The 22,191-nt window shown below is 39.6% G+C and overlaps 1 protein-coding gene across 2 annotated transcripts in view; it reads left to right on the forward strand.

Annotated features, from left to right (window-relative positions):
* Nucleotides 1-22,191, forward strand: part of GRIA3 (glutamate ionotropic receptor AMPA type subunit 3) — a 306,638-nt gene that overhangs the window by 50,089 nt on the left and 234,358 nt on the right. For both annotated transcript variants that reach the window (NM_000828.5, NM_007325.5), the window contains exon 3: nt 18,937-19,176. In NM_000828.5, coding sequence (NP_000819.4) covers nt 18,937-19,176 — 240 coding nt within the window. The remainder of the gene's footprint in view (nt 1-18,936; nt 19,177-22,191) is intronic.

Consider the following 22,191-nt stretch of genomic DNA (forward strand, 5'->3'; position numbering starts at 1 on the left):
TCTACCCTGAAAAGATTTGTACTTTCTCTCTTGGAATCCATTTCACAAATGTTTATGACTCTGGAATACTGATGGTATTATTATAAGTAGAGTGGCAAAGTGATATGTAGAGGCAATAACTATCTTCAGGATGGGCCAGTTCAGAGTGAGCTTCTTAGAGGAAATTACATTCCAAGCAGGCAGTAAGCAATGCCATCCTGGCTCCCTGAAATTGACTGGGTGGCAATCCAACTACAACATGTATCTGATCATTTTATACCTTGTGGCAACATATTGAGATCAGACCATTTCAGGGGAGTGGAATATTCCACCTCAGCGGTTGGCCCACTCTTAATGGGTCCTTAACACATATATAAGGAGATATAATAAAATAATAACTCTGTTCTTTAAGAGCTAAGGTATCCATGGGTAAATGTGTTATGTCATAGCAACAATATATCAGGCAATAAGGCAAGAGGGTGCAAATGACAAAATCTCTTCTAAAGACGAATAACTGGATCGTAAGCTCAAATAGCACATATGCATTGAGGGCCAGGATAATTGGTCCTTTATCTTCTCTTTATAAAAACAAAGGTTTATTTGCCCTTTAAATGGTTCAATAAAATTAAATTGGTACCCTGTAGTGTGTGCTGAATACATAATCAGAAATTGGAAGCAATAAAAAAAAAGAGGGAAAAGGCAAAAGTAATAAAATCTAAAATTTGGAACAGTGTACAAAAACAATGTAGGAAAATAATGCAATTCCCAATAACACCTCCTCATTGTGTAGCAGATCCTGTAACAATCACTTCTTCTCCTGAAAGCCAGAGATCACCAACTGGATCCACAGTACCTCAAAGGCACAGGCTGCTTGACTTTGTAGTATCCTCAGAAAAGGGGAGGGGCAGGGCAGGACTGGGTAAGAAAGGAAGTGACTCTCTATTTACTTTGTCCACTTTTGGAGGGATACACAAAACTTTGAAAGTAAATGTAGTACTCATGAAAAGGAATGCTTCGTGGAACTCAAAATGTCTTTTAAAATATATTCCCTGTAATCCTTCCAAAGCTGCTCATGTTAAGATCTTCAGAGAAAAAGCACAATAAAAACCTCATAATACATAAGCATACAGCAATCCAACCTCCAGAAAAACGGGAGAGTTGGTGCTTGGCAACTGATGAACATGAAACACAATACATTAAAAAAAACACATTCTTCTTTCTGATTTCTAATTTTGATGGCCAGACACAGAAATATTTGTTTAATGAGTGACAGCACATTGATAATACTTTTCTGTATGAACTGGATAGATGAAAGAGAAGGGAAATTGTGTTATTGTTCAATTATTTTTTGCACCAAATATATTCACATGCTTTACTCAGAGAAAATATTAATCATGCACACAAGAATTTTGACTTGGAAATCTCAGAACACTTTATAGAAATCCATTGTGTAGAGTGATTCCGGTGGCCAGATACATTAAAAAAAAAAAATGAAAAAGAGGGACACAGAACGAGTTTCAAAAAATACCTTCATTAAAATGTCTTACAGTTGAAGATTCTTAGTGAAGGTGAAACTATCTAGAGGTCATCTCTTTGCCTCCAACCAGGAGTACATTAAGTCATCCTGAATAAATTAAGTTCATCTGCTTTCCACACAGGACGTTTCTTCAGCCTTTCCAGGGGCCTCTCTTAGTTTTCTCCGGGCTCAACAGACCAAAAGACCCTTTCATAACTAAAGAAATACACGTTTTATTTCCTTTATGTCTCTCCCAGGCACCTGCCAAAGGACTCTGCACTTCGTTTACCCTCAAATATCATTGCTGCCTGGCTGGCACTTATGTTTAGTGCCACCCATACCACACCAATCTGGAGCTGGGACTCTTTCTTAAACACAGATGAAAACCAACAAGAGAAAGAAAAGTAGCCAAAGTAGGAGCTTTAAGGGTGAAAGAGAGCAAGACAGTCATAGAGTCACTGGGTCTGCAGCATTGCTTTGTGGAGCCTAGGCCCCATACTGAAGATTAATCTTAACCAACTTCATCAGTGATTCCATTTAAAAGGCAAAGAGGCAACTAGGTCCCAGTTGTGCACAGAAACAAAAATCACAAGCAATAAAATAAAATTAAATACTCATAATTAACTAATTGGTGGTACAGTTGGCTGCTTTTCCCCCCAGAGAAGGCATCTTCTATATGAATTTTGGAGCACTTAACCAAGTACAACAACTGTAATTATTATTATTCCTATAATAATAGGGTTCCCACAGATCTTCGTATTTTTACATGTTTTATACTCATTATGGCTAATCCACAAAACATCTCTTTAGGGTATGCAAATACTTTTATTGCCAGTATGCTAGAGAGGAGATAGAGCTAAAAAAAAAGGTGAAATGAAGGTCACAGATTATCAGCAGTGACTTACGAAATAGAACTAGAGAATTCCTCATCTCAGAACAAATTTATGTCATCAGCTCGCTAAATGCTTACAGTATGAGCCAAATTATACTGAGTCTGACACAAAAGTAACAGAACACCTGTTTCCTGGGCCTTCAAAAGCTTCTCAGTCATTGATGAAGTTCACATTTACACACATGAGGCAAGCAGGCCACAACTCAGTCCAGGCAAGCTATGATCAAATGCCAAAATGGGGGCTTCAGGCCAAGTGCTGCTGGCAGTCACAGTAATAATAGATTTCTTGGGGGATGAGGCAGGCACCAAATGCTCCACAGAGCAGGGAGTATCAGCCAGGTTTTGAAAGGCAGGCAAGAATTGGAATGGCAGAGATTTAGAGAATGGCATTCCAGGATGGGGACACAGCATGAGAAAATGCTCAGTAGCAGGAATGAATAAGAAGTATCTGAGGCATAGAAAGACCACTAGTCTAGGGCAGAAAATTCCTACAGGAGACCTGTGGAAGACAATTTTAGTTAGATCCTAAGTCCTAAATATAGAGAGCCATGGGGTAGAAAACAAATACCTACTGTTTGTTGAACACCTATTATGTACAGATTCTGTGCTTCATGTTTTCTTAATGTAAATTCCAGACTGAAGAGTTTGGACTATATCTGAAAGGCAATGGAGAGCTTAGGGCCCAGTCACTGCGTTCCAATATCTAAAATAAGACAGAGTGTGCTCAGTTACCTCACTCACATGTCCTTGGCCAACCTCTGAGGACTTACTTGAGTGTTTTATAACTGAGTATACAGCTTCTCTCAGGCAATACCATTGTTACCTGAAAATACAAAGCCTTTAATTTTGCGTGACATCACACAAAGAGAATTACAGAGCCCGAATCCTCTTTCTCTTGGAGCAAATGGACCACTCTGATGTGGTCAGATGTATTCATCAGTAGCACATAAAAGTTACAAGTTAATACATGACTGAGCAGCAAAGTGCTAGAGGGGCTACTTATTCCGTCTGCAGATGAAACTACATTCTAAGAGTTGCATGTGTTTACTTAATTGTAGCTATTTCTAGCTATTTTTAGTCAGATTCCACCCCATGGAGCAAGTTAGGTACTTTGGGAGACACAGTTTTACTTTCAAGCCACTGAAGGAGCATCTGCAAGGTCCATGCAAAAGGACTCAGCTGTTCCGTGTTGCTGCAAAAGGCTAAAGTAGGAATTAATTTGAATGATGTTCTGCACCAGTGGTTTCTCTTCCCACCTTGCAAATGGATTGAGTTCTAAAAGATGTGTAATCTGGCTGGCCTACAGGTGGCCTTAAATACCAGAGCTGCTTGTTAAAGCACATAAGACCCAGGGTACAACTGAACGGTTTTACAGCACTGAACCTAACTCTATTGCATGCTCATGTTTCTGTGGGAAGATGCGTTCACCTTCCCAACTCAAAAGTTTAGTAACACATGTTCCCTAAGCACTCCCATCTGAGACAGTGGGAGCAGAAATCCCATCGGCTTCCATCCCCAGGTGTTGGCAATTCAATGTGACTCCAGCTGGGTGGTGGGGATGAGTTCAGATGGAGGCTCAGAGGGCCTAGGGAGGAGGGATGGATTGTGAGAACAGGAAAAAGAATGAGATGGGTCCTCTGCAGGAAGTGATAAACAGTGAGGACACAAATGTTGTAGATCAAACCAGTACTAGGCTTGGGACAGGGCATGGAACTACAGTGGCATAAGGTAGTAAAGAAATACATTTTATTTTATGACCCATAACACATATGCATGTATTTAAAACCCAAAACATATGTTTCATGAAACAATGAAACAATACGTACCTTTACTACAAAGATGCACCTTGGCATTTTTCTAGGCTGTTTCATTTATTTTTAATGCTAGGTCATGACTCACTACATTGATTTCATAAGCCACTAATGGGTTGTACCCTGCATAATTTGCAAACATTGTAGGAAAAGGGAAGAAAGATTAGTTTTCCTTTATTCTTTTTTTTTCTCTTATCGATCATAGACTCTGGCCTGGAACAAATCAGAATGGAGGTTGAAAAAACAGGCACTGGGATAAAAGTGATGAAGGTGGGTTCTAGGCAACATTCAGGGAGAAAAGATAAATGGATAGGAAAGGTGTGGTCATGCTGTCACTGGACCAGTTATGAGTTCCCTAGCAGGAGGTCATATGAAAGGGAACTTGAGAGTAGAACTCTGTATATCTCCAGCATCTGGCACAGTACTTGATGCTGTTCAATAAATGTTTAATTTAAAATATCTACCAAATTGATACACATACATTAGAGGCTGATTGAACATACACATCTGATCAAAACACAGAGTGAATATCAGAATGTATGCTTGGCCAATGGCGGTGTTGACAGGGTTTGTTGTTAGCAACTTTATCCCTCCCCTTTGTCTCTGCGTTCAAATGCCAAAAGGTCCCCATGCAGAGGTATCCCCAACTGGAGAGTCATTCTCCTAGAGGACAACTAAAAGACTCAGATCTCCCCTGACTGTCACTAACGGCCCTCAAAATTTTATCTGACCTGTGTCCTGTTTCCTCAGTGCCTGGTTCTCGTCAGAACTAATCTGACAAACCAATCCATACTGAAGTAGTCATGAGAAATACTGACCGCATGTTTCCCTTCCAGACCACATTTGTAATTTAATAGGGAATTTTGCCATGCTAGCCAAAAAAAGGTGGATGTTTCAAACCTTGTGGTAGTCAATGGAGAAGAGAAACTGAAGATGGGACATCTTTCTAGGGACCCTCAAACCACACTACAATGCCACTATCTACTCTGCCTACAAATAGGAAGTTTCCATTAGTCATTAAACAATGCCCTCCTCCCCTCCAAAAAAAGTATGAAAGTTGCTAGTACAATGCCTAAAACAGTTAGTAACTAATAAATACTGGTTGGATTAGAATCTAAAACATTTAGGTGGGTAGGCACAGGAGGCAGCTTTAACAGGTCCTACTCACCTAGCATTGTCTGTGATAATGGACAATTAAATGTTGCACTGTCCACTAGCTGCACGTGGCTATGGAGCACTTGAAATATGACTAGTGTAACTGAGAAAAGTGTAGTCACATGTGGCTAGTGGCTATCAAGCTAGACAAGACAGGTCTAGACAGTTAACAGACATGAGACACACATTTTGAGCAAGTACCTTTCTCTCACTGGTGCCCTTGTTAAAAAGCTGGATCTTTTTCTAGATTAGCCCCAAGACCTAAAATGCCTGTCTTCAAAGGGTTGTCCTTCTTCTTTTAGGACAAAGGGGTGTAGGGGATTTGTGGGAGCTGGTTACAGAGGGCTTTGTTCTTAGATTCGAGCTAGACCATCTGTTCCCAATCAAAGCAGCTTTCAAATAGAGAGCAGTGCAACCCTGAAACATCCTGCAAGGGCCACTGAGGTTTACCTGAATGTACACCCTATGCTTGTCAGATGGACATCTCAGCGTGGACCTCCTTGGCACAAAGTTTTACACAGAGCCAGAACAACCTCCCAAACCACAATTGGGCAATTACTTTTAAAAATCCAACTGGTTGAATTCAAGTTAGAAGAAATGCCTTTTACTTTAACTTGCCTTTTTTTTTCCTTGATGGAAAATAGGTTTTTTTGCTCTTCAGGCTATTGAGACATATTTGAAGGAACTGAGGTTGTATGGATTTTTAATGCAGCAAAAAGGTGAACTGTTTTGAGTACACCAATCCTGGGTATTGTGAAGATGGCTTTTCAAGAGTTGCTGTCCATCAGGATTGCATTTGGGAAATTTCATAATGCTGCTTACAATTGCTTTAAAGTCTTCTAGCAGATATGGATGCTGAAGACCATGAACCCTAGGGTCGGATATTAATTCAATTTTTCCACCTGTAAAATGGGTAGGCCATTTGCTTCCTAACAACAAACAGCAATGAATCAGCATTTTGATCTTAGGTAATAACACACTGCTTGAGTTATTCTGTAGAAAACAGGAGTTTCCCAATTCTTCTGGTGGCTCATTCTTCACCAAAGAGGTACTTCTCTGTTTGATCATCCTCTCTCCTCTCAGCATCCTTTTCTTTTTTTTTACTTCCTTTTCATAAAACTTGATGATAAATGGTAAAGATACATTGTCAGAGATGATAAAACCCAGGAGAGAAGAAAATTGTTCCAGTTATTTTTTACCCAAGATTTAGGCCTGTGAATGTGTGTGAAGAACCAAAGTCAGTGTTAAGAATCATTCATATTGCCTAAACTGTGAATGTGTTAAAGATATAATATATTTGGAGCATACTGAAGAACTTTAGCCAGACTATTTATTATCTAGTTATTGTCATCCTGAAAGGTATAGGGGTGAAGAATAAAGTAGCATGCCCAATAATTTTGTCCTTGGCCCTGTCCTCTTCAGCATTTTTGTCAATAACTTGGATTATACTACCCGAAGCAGACTGACCAAATTGCAGATGATGCATAACTGGGAGCGACATCTAATAAACTTGTTAAACAAATCAAGATTAAAAATGATCCCTAGAGGCCGAGTCAAAACCATTAGGACGTTTTTAAAAAGCAAAAGTCTATATTTAGGTACAAAAAATCAACAGCACATATCCAAGGTTGGGGGAAGCCTGGTTTGGCAGAAGTTTCTTAATATACCTGGGATATAATTTCAAGACCACAAAGTAGGAGTGGTTTCCATGGAAATCTATGGTGAGCTGTTTGTTTGTTGTTGTGGTTTTGTTTTGTTTTATTTTGTTTTGTTTTATTTTTTAAAAAGCCATGCCATACTCAGCAGCACTGACAGATATGTGTTTTCTAGTCCAGAATTGGGGGGTGGGGAGGGGTATCAGTTCCCTGTCTTCTGGAGGGGTTCAACCTTACTCACAGTGTGGTGCTCAATCCTGGACGCCAAACTTTAAGGGTGACATTTGACAAACTGGAACACATCCAGAGAAGGATGGCCAGAGTGGTGAAGAGCCTGGGATCTCTGAAGAACAGTTGGCGATAGGCTGAAAAAAAGAAGTCATAGACAGGTGGGATGCATATTGTCAGATGTTTGAAAGCCTGTCATTTGAAGATGAAGTAGATTGTTTCTGCATACTTCAGACAAAAAAAAAATAATCCTCAGGTGGTGAAAGTTACAAGGAGGTAGATTTGCAGTCAATATATTAAGAAATTTCTAATAATTAGAGCCATCCCAAAGTAGAATGCACTGTTTTGAAGAGTAGTGAGTTCACTATCATCAGAAGTATTCAAGAGGGGATGGACCCACCTGCCAATTAAGCTATAGAGGGGATTGTTGCATTTTTTAGGAAGATGGAGGAGGTGACTGAGGCCATTACAACATTAAGAATGTGATGCTAAGGAATCCAAACAAAGTGGGAAATAAAGGCATGTCTTCTTCACTGATGATGGATCTAAAGATTTTATTACTTATATATGGTTTTGGCTTTAATTATGAAATATTTTAAGCCTACAGAAAATAAAACAGACAATTATTAGTTCATTTTTGAGAATAATTTTTGTTTGGGGACCCATCTCACCCTCTCCCTGCTCAGCATGGGCTGCAAAATCAAAGAAAATGGCTTTCAAATACTATATGATGTGATATCAAACTTGTAGCTCTTATCTGTCCATGACAAACCTTAGGGCTGATCCAAAGACATCATAAGAGTTCATCACTTTCCTGCACAGCTTTAAAAATTGTTTCATTGACTGTGACTGGATTACTGGATCAATTATTTTTTCAATTAAGAGTCCTGCTAAACCCCATGTAAAATGAGTTGCAAGTCAAGACAAGCCCCTGACTACTTTAGATGATTGATGGAGATATGTGGATGACAGAGACAGGCTGTAAAGAATGACAATTCTGTGGATTGATTTGTTATGTGGATGATGATTACTGGAAGCCAAGTACCAATACTACTTACTCGTTGATACTCAGGGACTTTTGTAATTTTTAAAAGGAGAAATTTAGCTATTACTTCCATTTATTCTCTGCACGAACCTGTGAGGTGGGCAGAGCAGGTGTTAGCATTGCTGGGTTACAAATGACAGACCTGAAGCCCAGGGAAGTGACCGGCCCAAGGCCATATAGCCAATTAGGGGCTGAACTGTATAAAAACCCATCTCAGTGCAAACACACTGAGAAATAATTTTTAAAATAATATAAATAACATATATCACTTATCAATTGAGCACAGACTATATGAAAGTCATAAGCACTTTACACATATTCATTTAATCCATACAATAATACTATGGAGTAGGTACTATTATACCAATTGTTATAGATATGGAAATGAAGCTTGGAGCATCTAAGTAACTAGCCCAAGTCTATTTAACCAATAACTTGACCTTAAAAAAAAACTCCAAAACTCTTTACCTTCAGTGCCACAACACAATTCAAACCACTATTGTCTCTCACCTAGACTATAGTAATAACATTTCAAAGGTGTTCCCTACTTTCGTTGATGTTCCCTTAAATCTACTCTTCATACAGCAGCAAGAAAAGTCTTTTAAAAATATAAATCAGTTTATGCTATACCCATGATCAAAATTATTCTAATATTTCCTCCCATAGTCCTTGGCATAAAAATACAAATTCCTTACCAACATCTAACAAGGTCCTCCACGGTTGGTTCCTGCCTCCTCTACCAGATTCATCTTGCATTATCCTCTTCCTCACTGGCCATGTTCCAGCCAGGCTAGTCTTCTTTCAGTGCCTCAAATGCATCAAATGCATTTCAGGGCCTTGTCACATGCTAGTCTCTTTGCATAGGGTGCTCTTCTACCATCAGGTGTCAGTTCAAATGCTTTGTCCACAGATAACCTTTCCCTCGCCTAATCTAAATTAAAACCACCTTATCATGAAGTCACAGCATCCTACACATTCTCCTCTTCATAGTTAGAACGTGATAATCACACATTGGTATGATTATTTGATTCATATTTATCATATTTACTGCCAGTACTAGACTGTAAGCACCATGAAGGCAGAGATCTTGTCTGTTTTGCTCACCACCATATTTCAGCACCCAGACACTGCCACACACTAGGAACCTGAAATTTATTTAATGAATGAATAAGCAAAAAATTAAAGCCCACTCCTGACTCCTGAGTCCCAATGCTTAACCATATTATCTCGATATAAAAGGGCCTAAAAAGCACCCTCTTAGCCCAACCCATTTCAACACCTTTCCCGTCATCTCTGACATTGCTATGGAAGGATGATTTACATTTACATGTGCAAAATGAATTTTCCAAAATACATGTGTTCATATATTAATGCCTGCATTTGCTAGCAGTTACATTCAAGTAGGATCAAATGTTGACAATAAGTGTTTTCTTTGCCAGCATTTAGATACATGCCATGTAATTGCAAAAATAATTAGTTAGACTTTCAGAAGGCAGTATGCTCTTGAGAGCTGAACAAAATGTTCAAAGGAATTAACCCCAAGATGGTAATTAAACCATGCAATCATCAGCTGGAGAATGGGGCTGACACACTGTTCTGACTCTGAAACCTAAAAGGACCCACTGTGGTTACCAGGACACAAGACCAAAGGGCACTGGGGAGGGATCATGATTTATATGAACCCAGGGAAGGTATGAGCTGACTGCTACCCTATACTCACCCCACCATATCCATCCTCTATCTAATTTCCCCTCTCCTACATCCCCAGGCTAAACACAAATAACTCATTAAAGGGCAGGATCAGGAAGATAGCTGCCTGTATGGTAGGCTTGGAAGAGTCCAGAATATCCACCCTTTTTAAGTTTCTACTGCTAAAGTAACTCCTTTGGGGTTTTCTAGATATGTATGCATTTTCATTGGATTAAGGTTTTGCTCTTTGTAAGGAGGAATTCATAAGGTAAACCTTTGGTTCTCAATGTGGGAGATGAGCTATGTTGCCCTCCTGAGGGATATTTGATGATGTTCTGAGGCATTTTGGGTTGTCACAACAGGTAGTAGGAGTGGTGCCCATGGCATTTAGAGGGTAGAAGTCAGTGATGTTGCAAAACATCTTACAATGCACAGGACAGCCCCTGGACAAAGAATTATCCAGACCAAAATGTCAATATTGCCAAGGTTGAAAAACCCTGAACTGACCCACTTACAAAGATTCATTTATTAATCCATTAACAATTCATACACAGAGTAGGTTCTTGCAGAAATAGGAGATGGGATGAGTATATTTTGATTGATCAGTTGAAACAGAAAGAAGGAACAGTAATTTTATAGCAGTATTCAATAGTCTGGGAAAAGACTGGAAGCAACTGACCAGTTAAGAGACTACTCTCAGTCAAGAGAAAAGGAATGATAACTTGAACTGACAATGAACAGGAGGTAGATACACGTACCTTAGAGGCAGAATTGGTGAAGCATTACAAAAGAATGGTATAGGGAAATGAGGGAGAGAACAAAGGCAATCATGATCCTTAAGACTTTAGCTTTGGTTCCTGGAACAAGAGCAATGCATTAGAAGAAACAGGGACAACGGGAGCAGACACATAGGTGGAGGATGGACGTAGAGAAATAATATGCTGAGTTCGTGATGCCTTGAGGGCCTCTGGGTGAGGCTGTTTTATGGGCAGTTAGAAATGTGGCTCTGGAGCTCAGGAGTGTGGCTGAAGCTACAGGTATCTAGTTAGAAGTCATCCACATGGAGGTAGTGAGATTAGATCCCCTTGCCTGGCACATAGCAGGTCCTCCATAAATATTTGTTGAATTTTAAAAAACCATATTTAAAGTGAGGAGAAAAGAGGGCCAGGGACAAAATCTTTGAAACACATCCTCATTGAGGAGGTGGACACAGAGGAAACTGAAAAGGAGGAGTAAGAGAGGTAGGGCCAGCAGAGTTTAATGCACTGGAAATCCGAGAGGAGAGTTTCAAGGGCTAAGATTTAGCCAACAATATCAAATGCGGCTCAGCAATCAATTCGAACAACGTCTATGAATAGAGGGGGATTTGACAGTGAAGAAGTCATCATCGAACTTGAGAGAGCAGTTCAGTAGAGGAGTTGGAACAGAAACTAGGTTCCAGAAGCTGAAGACTGCAAGATCTTTATTATCCCATCATTAGTAATAGTGATAAAGGAGTTAGAATGATAGTTGATGGAGGTGGCAGGGATTTAGGAGGAAATGGAATCTTAGCAGATGTTTAGCCTGACAGGAAGAAGGCAGCATAGAGAGACTACAGTGTGGCACTCAAGAAGCCCAAAGAGTAAAATTAGGTTCAATTTAAGGACGAGCTCCCTAGCTGTCAGAGCTGCCCTCCAAGGGAAGTAGTGAGTTCCCTTGTTACTGGATGGATTCAAGGAGAGGCAATATGACCTCACAGAAGGTGGCTCATGTATTGAATGGGAATTTGGACTAGATAATTCATTTCCAACCTTTTGGACTTATCAGATTAATAATATTTTAGGGGGAAAAAGGTAGGGCAGGTGCACATTGATCCAGAGAGTTACCAACCTTTTAATTTTGCTATGTTAAATGTATTAGCTTTCTATTTACTGCTGTAAAAAATTACCACAAACTTAATAGCTTAAATTGACACAAGACTATTATCATACAGTTCTGTAGGTCAGAAGTCTGGTACAGGTCTCACCAGGCTAAAACCAGTGTGTCGGCAGGGTTGTGTTCCTATCTGGAAGCCCTAAGGGAGACCCTGTTTTCTTGTCTTTTTCAACTTCTAGAGACTACCCATATTTCTTGGCTTGTGGCCTCTTTCCACTTTTCAAGCTAGCAATGGCCAGGCAAGTCTTTCCCATGTCACATTACTCTGATACCGACTCTCATTTTGCCTCTGTCTTCCACATTTAAAGAAGCTTGTGATTACACTGGGCCACCCAGATAATCCAGGATATTCTTGATATTTTAGGGTCCATTGATTAGCAGCCTTAATCCCATCTACAGCCTAATTTCCCTTTACCGTATAACCTAATTCAGGGACTTTGGGACTCAGACATGGACATCTTTTGGGGAGTCATTATTTTATCTACCCACATAAGAGATATAGATATATAAATATATCTTCCATGTGATAGACATCATCATCATTTATCATCAACATCATCATTTCAGAAAATAAAGACTACATATAGCACTAAAGAGTAGAAATTATATAGAGAAAAGTACTGTCTTTCAAAAAAAAAAAAAAACCACGAGTTGTCTACCTTACTCCAACACACACAATAAAACACAGCATACATTTATTTATTTCCTTACACTGGTAACTCCACCAATTACTAATACCACAGCTTTAGAAAGCACCAGACTATATGATCTCTCAAGGTCCCTCCTAGCTCTAAGTTTCTTTGATCCACTGGACTTCACTGTACTATGAAGGAATTACCTGGAGAACCTTGTTGTGATGTAGCTCTATGAGTTTCTTCATAGCTATATTTTTCGTCTTCCTGCTTGCTTTAAATGCAATCATTAAATCAGCAAGAGACTTCAGTTTCCCTCTTTCCTCCTTGATTCAAAAGGTATGAAAAGTGTTCTGTAAATGATATGCAATATTGTTATTCTGAACTTTGAAGTAATCAAGTTGTTTGACATTTTTGTAATGATGCCTTTTGGAATATGGGTGGTATAATTTGGTGCCACACTGTACATTAACAATACCCGTCTCGACCCTACAGACTCGGGGACTATAAATAAAAGCGTGACAGCTGGCTCCAGCCTTGCTTGCCACTCACCATTGAAGGGAACGCAGCTGGGGAGCTACACTAGAGTCCCCAGGAATCCAGAATGTAGTCAGAAACGACATCTTCAATGAGAAAAAAAATTGGTATTTTGTTACTGGGAATATACAGAGACAGGCACTCTTAGGAGGCAGACAACCAAGCTATTTCACACTGAGAAGGCACAGAGGCCCCAGGTAGGGACAGCATTTCACCAGCACAAAGGCATTATATAGGGAGGGAAGAGACAGAGGACAATGGCATCTTCTTGAGCCAAATTGGCAGAGTTTCTTTAACCCATTACCACCCAGAAGTGAGACTAGGAAAGAAGAAATGGATAGGAAAAGTGAAAGAGATGGAAAGTGATATCCTGGGGCTTGGTATGAGATAGAGGGCAATGGTTACTGTGGGGAGGATAACACAATAGAGCTAACAGAGGGCAAAGTACACAGAGAGAGAGAGAGAGGTGAAGCTGATATACTTCATATTTTATTTATTTGTCTCATTTATTGTATTTTCCCCTCACTAGTCTGTAAGTCCCAAGAGGACAGGATCTTTTTCACTCCTGTATCTCCCAACATCTATAACAGTGCCTGACACATAGTAGACGCTCAAAAAATATTTGATGAATGAATAAATAGCTAGTATTCATTGAATGTCTATTATATGCTAAGCACTGTTATAGGTGCTGCCCATGAATGAACGTATTTTAACTTTCACAGCAATGCTGAAACAGTTATTGTCATTATCCCAATTTTACAGATGAAGAAACTCTATCAGAGGCACAGAGATACTAAGTAACTTGCCTAATAAGTAAAGGATACAGGATTTCAACCTATGTGGTCTAACTTTAGAACCTGCCTATGTAATAACCATCCTATACTGAGGCTCAGAAAGGTCAAATAACTTGCGCAAAGTTACGCAGCTTATGACTGGCAGAGCCATGATTGGAACCAAGATCTGCCTGTCTATGAAGTTGCTGCCTTTCCCTCTGCACTTCATGACTTTATAAGATTGCCAAGACAAATATTTCTTCCATCACCATTTTACCAGAGAGTCTTCTGAGATAAAGAAATGGGTGTGAGGCTGGGCATGGTGGCTCACTCCTGTAATCCCAGCACTTTGGGAGGCTGAGGCGGGTGGATCACCTGAGGTCGGGAGTTCGAGACCAGCCTGACCAACATGGAGAAACCTCGTCTCTACTAAATATACAAAAATTAGCCGGGCATGGTGGCGCATGCCTGTATTCCCAGCTACTTGGGAGGCTGAGGTAAGAGAATTGCTTGAACCTGGGAGGCGGAGGTTGCAGTGAGCCGAGATCGGGCCATTGCACTCCAGCCTGGGCGACAAGAGCAAAACTCCATCTCAAAAAAAGAAAGAAAGAAAGAAAAAAAGAGAAATGGGTGTGCTTCATTAAGGATTCAGATAAAGGAAACAGACATCCCCCAAAAGAATCATGACTCCCAAAAGATCACCAATCTGCAACCAGCTCTCACTGCTGTTATTGGGGCTGGAGGGAGCTGAGGGAAGCAGCTGGCAGATGAATCATGGGAAACCCCTGGTAGAGCCATCTATGCTACCTTGTCTGAGGGCTAGGCATTGAAGGTAAGTCACTTTCATGCAGGTGAATCCTGACCCACGCTGCAAAAGATAGCTCTGGAGTAGGGATGGTGAGGAAATGCCAATAAAGCTTTTCTAAGAGACTAGTTCATAATTCTTGTGTGACCTTGTGTAAGACACTCCCTCCCTTTGTGTCATAGTTTCTTTATGATAGGGAGACATCAGACCAGTGAAACTCTGTTCAATCAGAAGAGCTCCACTGTCTCATTTGTAAAATAAACTTTTCCATATAAAATTTCATTTGGAGAAAGGATTTCACCACTAAAAACTATGCTTGAGAAACAAGTGAATAAAAAATAAGTTCCTTCTAGCTCAAACATTCTAAGAATCTAAAATCATAGACATTGTGGGTGGGTCAACTCAGTGTTCCATTCAACCCTACTTTTGACAGCCAGGAACAGGCCTAGGATCTGCTGTGAAAGGCCCTTCACAGGTCCCCCATGCCCCAGCTTCTTTCAGAGGCCATTAACACTGTCCTCATATGGCAGTTGTCTTCCCCATTGGGCTAATCCTTCGCAGGCCTTCTACTGATGTCTGTCTATGTTGGAGTGGGTGGAGCACAGGGGTCAATATTTGAAGGACAGTTGTACTTCTGTTTTATATGAAAGGAGTCAAATGTTTCCTGATTTTCACCTAAAACTCTTCTTATTGATGTCCACCACCAAAAGACAGTGGATCTGCCTTTTGGACCACGGTGGCATATTATTCCCTGAGGATTGCCACTGATCTATAAATATTCCTGAGTCCCTTGTCTGAGTCACAACCAGAGCTGTATGCTTAGTTTGGAAATTTTAAATTTCAGTGGGTTTTCTCACACAGGCTCCCTACACATTTTTATAAGTTCTTCTTTTGTCTCATTCTTCTTGTCATAATATACAGGCTTAAAGATTTCACTGGGTTCACCTTCCTGGAGACAACTCATAAAGTTTTACCAAAGTCTGGGTTTCACATATACAATATGACTCCCTTGATATAAAGCTTTAAAACAAGCAAAAATAATAATATATCGTTTAGGTGTATGTGTTTGTATATTTTTTTAAAACCAAGGTAATAATAAATACAAATTTCACGATAGTAGTTACCTGGGGCAGGGGTAGCAGGGAGGAGTGTTATCAATACAGGGAGATGGACTAGAGGAGGACCACATAGATAAAAGTAAGTTACCAGTAATGTTATAGTTCTCAGGTTGGGTAATGGCTTTATAGGTGTTCATTATAGTCTAAATAAATAAATGAATGCAATAAATAAAATATTAAAAGTCCGTGTATGAACTAACAATGATTAATTAATTCTGCACCCCGAGTTCAAGGTCAATGATTAGAAGAGCAATACAAGATTTTTTTTAATCAACCAGAACCTCGCCACTTATCTTCTGTTTCCTTCCACTATTTCAAGAGTTTTTGAAACTGAAAGTGGATCATGGCTATAGTTTTCCTTCTTTTTAAGTTTATATTCCCCCTCAATTATTGCCCATAATCTAGTCAGGTTGGAGTTCTCCTTACTGAAAATATGTTGCATTTTCCCATGAGACTATTTTTGTATAGGATTCATGGATCCTAATTTTTCTTTTGCCAGTTGGTATGGATCTGAGAATTACCAGCTACCCTTTGAATCATTTTGGTTGAAGGGCCATGATTGCTTGTTCTAGTCTTCCAGCCCATGACCATTATTAGTAAGGAGAGGTTCTTTCTAGGGTTGACAGATAAAATACAGGATGCCCAGTTAAATTTGAATTTCAGATAAACAACAAATTATGTTTTTAGTGTATGTATGAATTTGAGGCATACTTATACTAAAAAATTATTTACCTGAAATTCAAATTTAATTGAAAATCTTGTTTTTATTTGCTAAAGCTCGAAACCCTATCTCTTGTGGAGCAATGATTACTTTTTAATAACATTATTGGATTTGAGTACATGTGAGTGTGAGTTTTGGATCAAGCACACTCAGATTCAAATTCTGGCTCCTCTGCTTAATAGCTAGAACAGTTTTTTTGGTCTCAGAATTTTTATCTATTAAATAGGAATAACAGCAATACCTCATAAAGCTGATGAGAATATTAAATGAAAAAATATTTGTACAGTAGTTAGTATAGTGCCTGGCTAAATACTATTCTCATTATTAATGGCTGTTATTATCAATGGCTATTATCATTATTATTGGATGTTATCATTATTATTGTCAATTTTGTACAGAACATTATGTGCACTGGCCAAGATTTGATTTGGTATTGCAAAACTCCACTTACAGGATTAATTTGAGAATGGGACTTTTCTTAGCATCACCCTTGGTGATGATCAAGACATCCCTTTTGTTTCTGAGTATTGTACTCCCTTTGGCTCTTGTCATGAAGTACCCCAGATTCACTCTAGTTGGATTTTTCCTTTTATTTATTTATTTGTTTATTTTTGAGACGGTGTCTCACTCTGTCGGTCGCCCAGGCTGGAGTGCAGCGGCACGATCTCGGCTCACTGCAACCTCTGCCTCCCGGGTTCAAGCGATTCTCCTGCCTCAGCCTCCCGAGTAGCTGTGACTACAGGTGCCCGCCACCATGCCCAGCTAATTTTCGTATTTTTAGTAGAGACGGGGTTTCACCGTGTTAGCCAGGGTGGTCTCGATCTCCTGACCTCGTGATCTGCCTGCCTTGGCCTCCCAAAGTGCTGGGATTACAGGCGTGAGCCACCGCGACGGGATTTTTCCTTTTAATATAAAGACGTTTCCTGTGCATGTGTCTGAGGGTCACTTAGAATTCTTCAAGTTGAAGACTATTGTCTCCTATGATGGAGATGGTTAAGTGACTGATAATCACTTTTGAAATGCTACCCTCAAGCCAATGGCTAATGACTTTGGTTGATAAAAAGAGAACAGCTCTAATCAACATAGATTCGAATCAAATGCAGGGAAAGCAAAATACTACATCCACTGAGAACTCTATCTCTCACAACAGGGTCAAGAAATGAATTAAATTGGTTTTCCACTTGCCTTCATGCTTTCAATACCTTCTTTATTTTTGGTGCTCAACGTCTTCACTGTTTCTCCTCTCAGGGAGGACTCCAGACCCCATACACATTCTCTTCTCTGACCCACTCATCCCCATCAAAATTTACCCATCTGATTTCCCACTCATCCTTGCATCTAATCAGACATTAATTTATCTTACCACAGTAACTGCTAAATAAGATTCTATTTAATCACTCTCCCAGGCCACAGACTTCTTTTAAACACTTGAAGAAGTAAACTTAACAGTGGTATTTAGGGTTTTCTAGTAGGTAAGGGAGACCATGCAGGACCCCTTAAATCACACCACATTATGCCTGTTATGTCTGCTTCGCATGAATGGAAGTGAGCAGTGGTGCAGATAATCTAAAGATCATTTCCACTTTGTTTGTGAATGCTCCACAGTGTTGTTGTAGCTGATTTGTTTTGCTAATTATGTTCTACTGAAGCTAATATTAAAATTGGTTCACATTTTTTAAGCTCTTATGGGCCAGAAGAGAGAAGAGGCAGCAATGTGGCCCACTTTGAAATGAAGGAAAGGTGACAACTGTGAGGGGGGTGTGAAAATTCTACATGTGGGCTAGTGGAGTCTATAAGATACATGCAAAAGGATCAAGATAGAACTTTCCCAATTACACATGGGCAGGATAGGCAGCCACCTAACCCCTGTGACTCGATGAGCACTGAAAGGACAGTCTTCCCATGGCCTGCCCAGAGCCTTAAATCATCTAAATTAATAGCCCACATTAAGGGCTTTAATAATAACATAACTGTGGCTAAGACATTATGTAACCTGAAGGGTAACACATTTCCTAGCAGACTTATTAGCAGCTAGTCTTACTAAATTCTCAGTCACCTATGAGAAAAAGGAATGAAGGGTGGTACAAAAAACAGTTGTAGTTGTAGTTTGATGGACGCATTAGTACACTAAGAGGCCCCTGGGCAGCTAAAGTGGAAGTACAAGAGCACTGAATGCCTTGGAGATGAGCCGGGAGGGTTTTGAAAGGGAGTAAGACGACTTTCACCTCTATTTTTCCCACATTTTCTTAGTTTCCAGCTCATTGTGCACATAGAGAATGTGTACCTGTATCAAATTAATTCTCTTCCCTTTCTTACTCTTCTCCTGTTGGGTAACTGGGTTTTCAGGGGCTTCTTTCTTCTGAGGTATGCAATTTGGGGCCTAATTGTACATTGTATTTCTAACCCTACAAGTTGCAGCAAAGGACCATGGAGCTATTGAATCTTTTTCTCTTTTTCTCATTGCAGTCTGCTCCCAGTTCTCGAGAGGGGTGTATGCCATCTTTGGATTCTATGACCAGATGTCAATGAACACCCTGACCTCCTTCTGTGGGGCCCTGCACACATCCTTTGTTACGCCTAGCTTCCCCACTGACGCAGATGTGCAGTTTGTCATCCAGATGCGCCCAGCCTTGAAGGGCGCTATTCTGAGTCTTCTGGGTCATTACAAGTGGGAGAAGTTTGTGTACCTCTATGACACAGAACGAGGTAAGAAGAGGCACCTGCTCTGCTCTTTAGATATTCATGTAATTGTGTTCAAACTTCCTCAGCTTATGTGCCCTTTGCTTCCAATAAATAAAATCTAATTCTGTTTTAAAATTGTATTTAATATTCCAAATAAATCAAAGGTTAAGATTAAAAAATAAAAGTAATAGTAATTTTAGAACCTAATTTTTCAAGCTATGTAGGCCCTCCCTGAAAAAGCAGTTTGGAATACCTCTTGATTGAGTCACCATAGTTGAAAAAGAACGCCTCCCCCATCAAAAATTTTATCTGGTCTAAAATGTATGAAGTAAAAGCAGCTTAGTCTAAGTAGAGAGAGGCTTAAATTGGAAAGTTTTGGAAAATTAATCCTGTCAGAAACTGTAATTATCCCCATTTCATAGATGAGATAGCTAAAGTCCAAGTGCTTTTTCATACAGCAGTTTCACCACTAAAATGGGACTGGTAGCAATGTCTCTTGCTTCCAGGACTCATTCCATCAGATCACATTAGGTTTTCAGCTTAGCAGGCCTCAACAATTATCTGATAGAAATAATGAGTGAGACAGCTAAACTGGGCTTTGGGGATTGACTTTTTGTTTTGTTTTTGGTTTTGTTTTTGTTTTTGTTTTGTTTTGTTTTAAATAGTGAGACAGTCTACGGCCATACCACTCTAAATATGCCCAGTCTCCTCTAATAGTGAGACAATATATTGAGGATACACTCTATTAAAACAGGCTCAGAAATTAAGAGTCTGATCTTAAATAATATACAGTAAGGTCTATTGATTAATTTGCTAGAGCACACACATCATAATTCATCTAATCAGGCTCCTCCAACACCCAGTTGTCTTTGACGGGTTCCTTGGTAAAACCAAGGGATTCTATCACCAAGACGTTCCAGAAGACAATGTTACTTTATCACTCATTTGCCTGTGGTTCCATTTATAGGCTGGGGGTGGTTCTCTCTAACTCAGAATTTTTAAACTCAGAAGGATTAAATGAAAGGCTTATCTGCCTGAGGGGTACCTGTAGAAGAGGTCCTTCTAAGTAACTTAACTTGAACGGCCATTTTGCTCTTGGGAATCCAGAACACTCTTCACTTTACTCTCATTTTGCTGCATCATCAAATCTTAATAGCAAATACTTAGGCCTGTATTTCCCTATTGTACTTACCTCCAAACTATCATCAAATTTCATGAACCTGAAGCAGAAGACCAGAGGTCTAGTCCAAGCTCTGCCACTTACTAGCTCACTTAACAAGTTGACCTTGACCAACTCATTGACATGCTCTTGGACTTGGCCTCCTCACCTAAGGTGTGTTCCTTCTTAATGTTATATTCCATGATTCTGTGATTTTTTTTGAGATATTTGACCAGCTACTGACACTTTGTATCTTGCTACTAATCGTAACTTATATATTATCAGTTAATTAGTCAATCCATTCTACAAGCCATTATCAACCCCCAATGGTGGTCTCCAATCCTGTGATACATACATATATAATATGGTTTCAAGGGGGTGTGTACAGAAAAAGATACTTATAAAGCAATTCATGAACAACACAGAACAACATCAAATTGAGTGCTACACTGTATACTCTGAATACTTTAAGAATTGTGGAAAGGTTGCACTCCAGAAAAGTAGAGTTTTCAGAGAAAGCTTGCTAGAGAAGCTAGCCTTGAAAGATAGATAAGTTGTGGGTTGCAAGAGAGAAGGGAGATGGGGCTTTGGAGAGGAGAAAAGAGAACAAACAAACAGCAGGGCCAGGAAGGAACACTGTGTGTTCAGGTAGAGCCCTGTCTGACTGAGATACAAAATAGCTTGAATATTCTAATTCATAATTTGCCAAATTTTAATAAATTTCATTTTGTCCAAACAGTATACATGTACTGTATACAGCGTAATCTAGTGCATATCAATTTCGTTTTCAGAACTGAACTTTGTAAGTCAGGCAACTTCTCTCCTGAAACATTTTAAAAACGAAATATTGGTTCCACCAACAGTGTACCTCTCATTTATTCAAAAGCAGAAGACACAATTAATGAATTTTATCCTCATCTAGTGTGACCCTTCTCTGCTCATTAGCTCTCTACTAGAAGAACGGGAGGAAAAGACCATCTATCTATTTCTTACCCTTGCATCTTTTCTCTAATCATCTAACTAAATAGTTTGGACAAGTCTATGGTCTTGGAGTCAAAGAAAGCTTTCTGACTCATGTAACTTTATATTTTTCACCTGCAGCCATTTAGCTGGTGGGACTAATCCGCTCTGCTTAAGAAGTACTTCCCATAAACTTTTACACTAATTTACCCCTTGAAAAGCCTTCTTACATTACTGTACTAGGATCCTGTTCCAAAATTTTCAATGGCTTTCTATTGCCCATATTGAAAAAAGCAGTCTATTCTTCAAGACTTGGCATGAGTATGCCTCAACCAACTAACAAACCCATTCTCCCTATGCTACCCAATGAGAACCTCCCATTGTAGGAAGCTCCCATTTTCCACTGCTGCCTAAATGCACCAGAACCATGCCTGCCTCAGCAATCGTACTTTTACTACTACCTGGAATTCTCTCCTTTATCTTGATATGGTAATCATGTCCATTCTTCCAATTTTCAAAACCCGCCTCAAACTCTACCTCCCCAAGGTAGCCTTCCTTGACCACTCTAGCTCACAATTATTCATTAATGCAATAGATGCTAAGGCTACAATAAAAACCACATAGATATAGTTAGATATGGTTCCTGCTTTATAAACCTACATTCTAATGATGGAGATAGACAAAAACCAAGTAAATTAACAAAAAAACAATTGCACATTTAAATAAGGTGCTATGAAGGAAAAAAATAGACAGATAATAATGGATAGGGCTTAATTTCCAAAGGATGTTCAGTGATGGCCTCATTGAGAAGGGGCATTTAAGCTGAGAACTAAAGGACTGGAAGGAGGCAGCATGTGAAGAGTAGAGGGAAATAGTTTCAAGCAGTAGAAATAGCAAGTGCAAAGGTCATGTCGTATGGT

Source organism: Homo sapiens, chromosome X (genome assembly GCF_000001405.40).
Source record: "Homo sapiens chromosome X, GRCh38.p14 Primary Assembly".
Taxonomy (NCBI): Eukaryota; Metazoa; Chordata; class Mammalia; order Primates; family Hominidae; genus Homo; species Homo sapiens.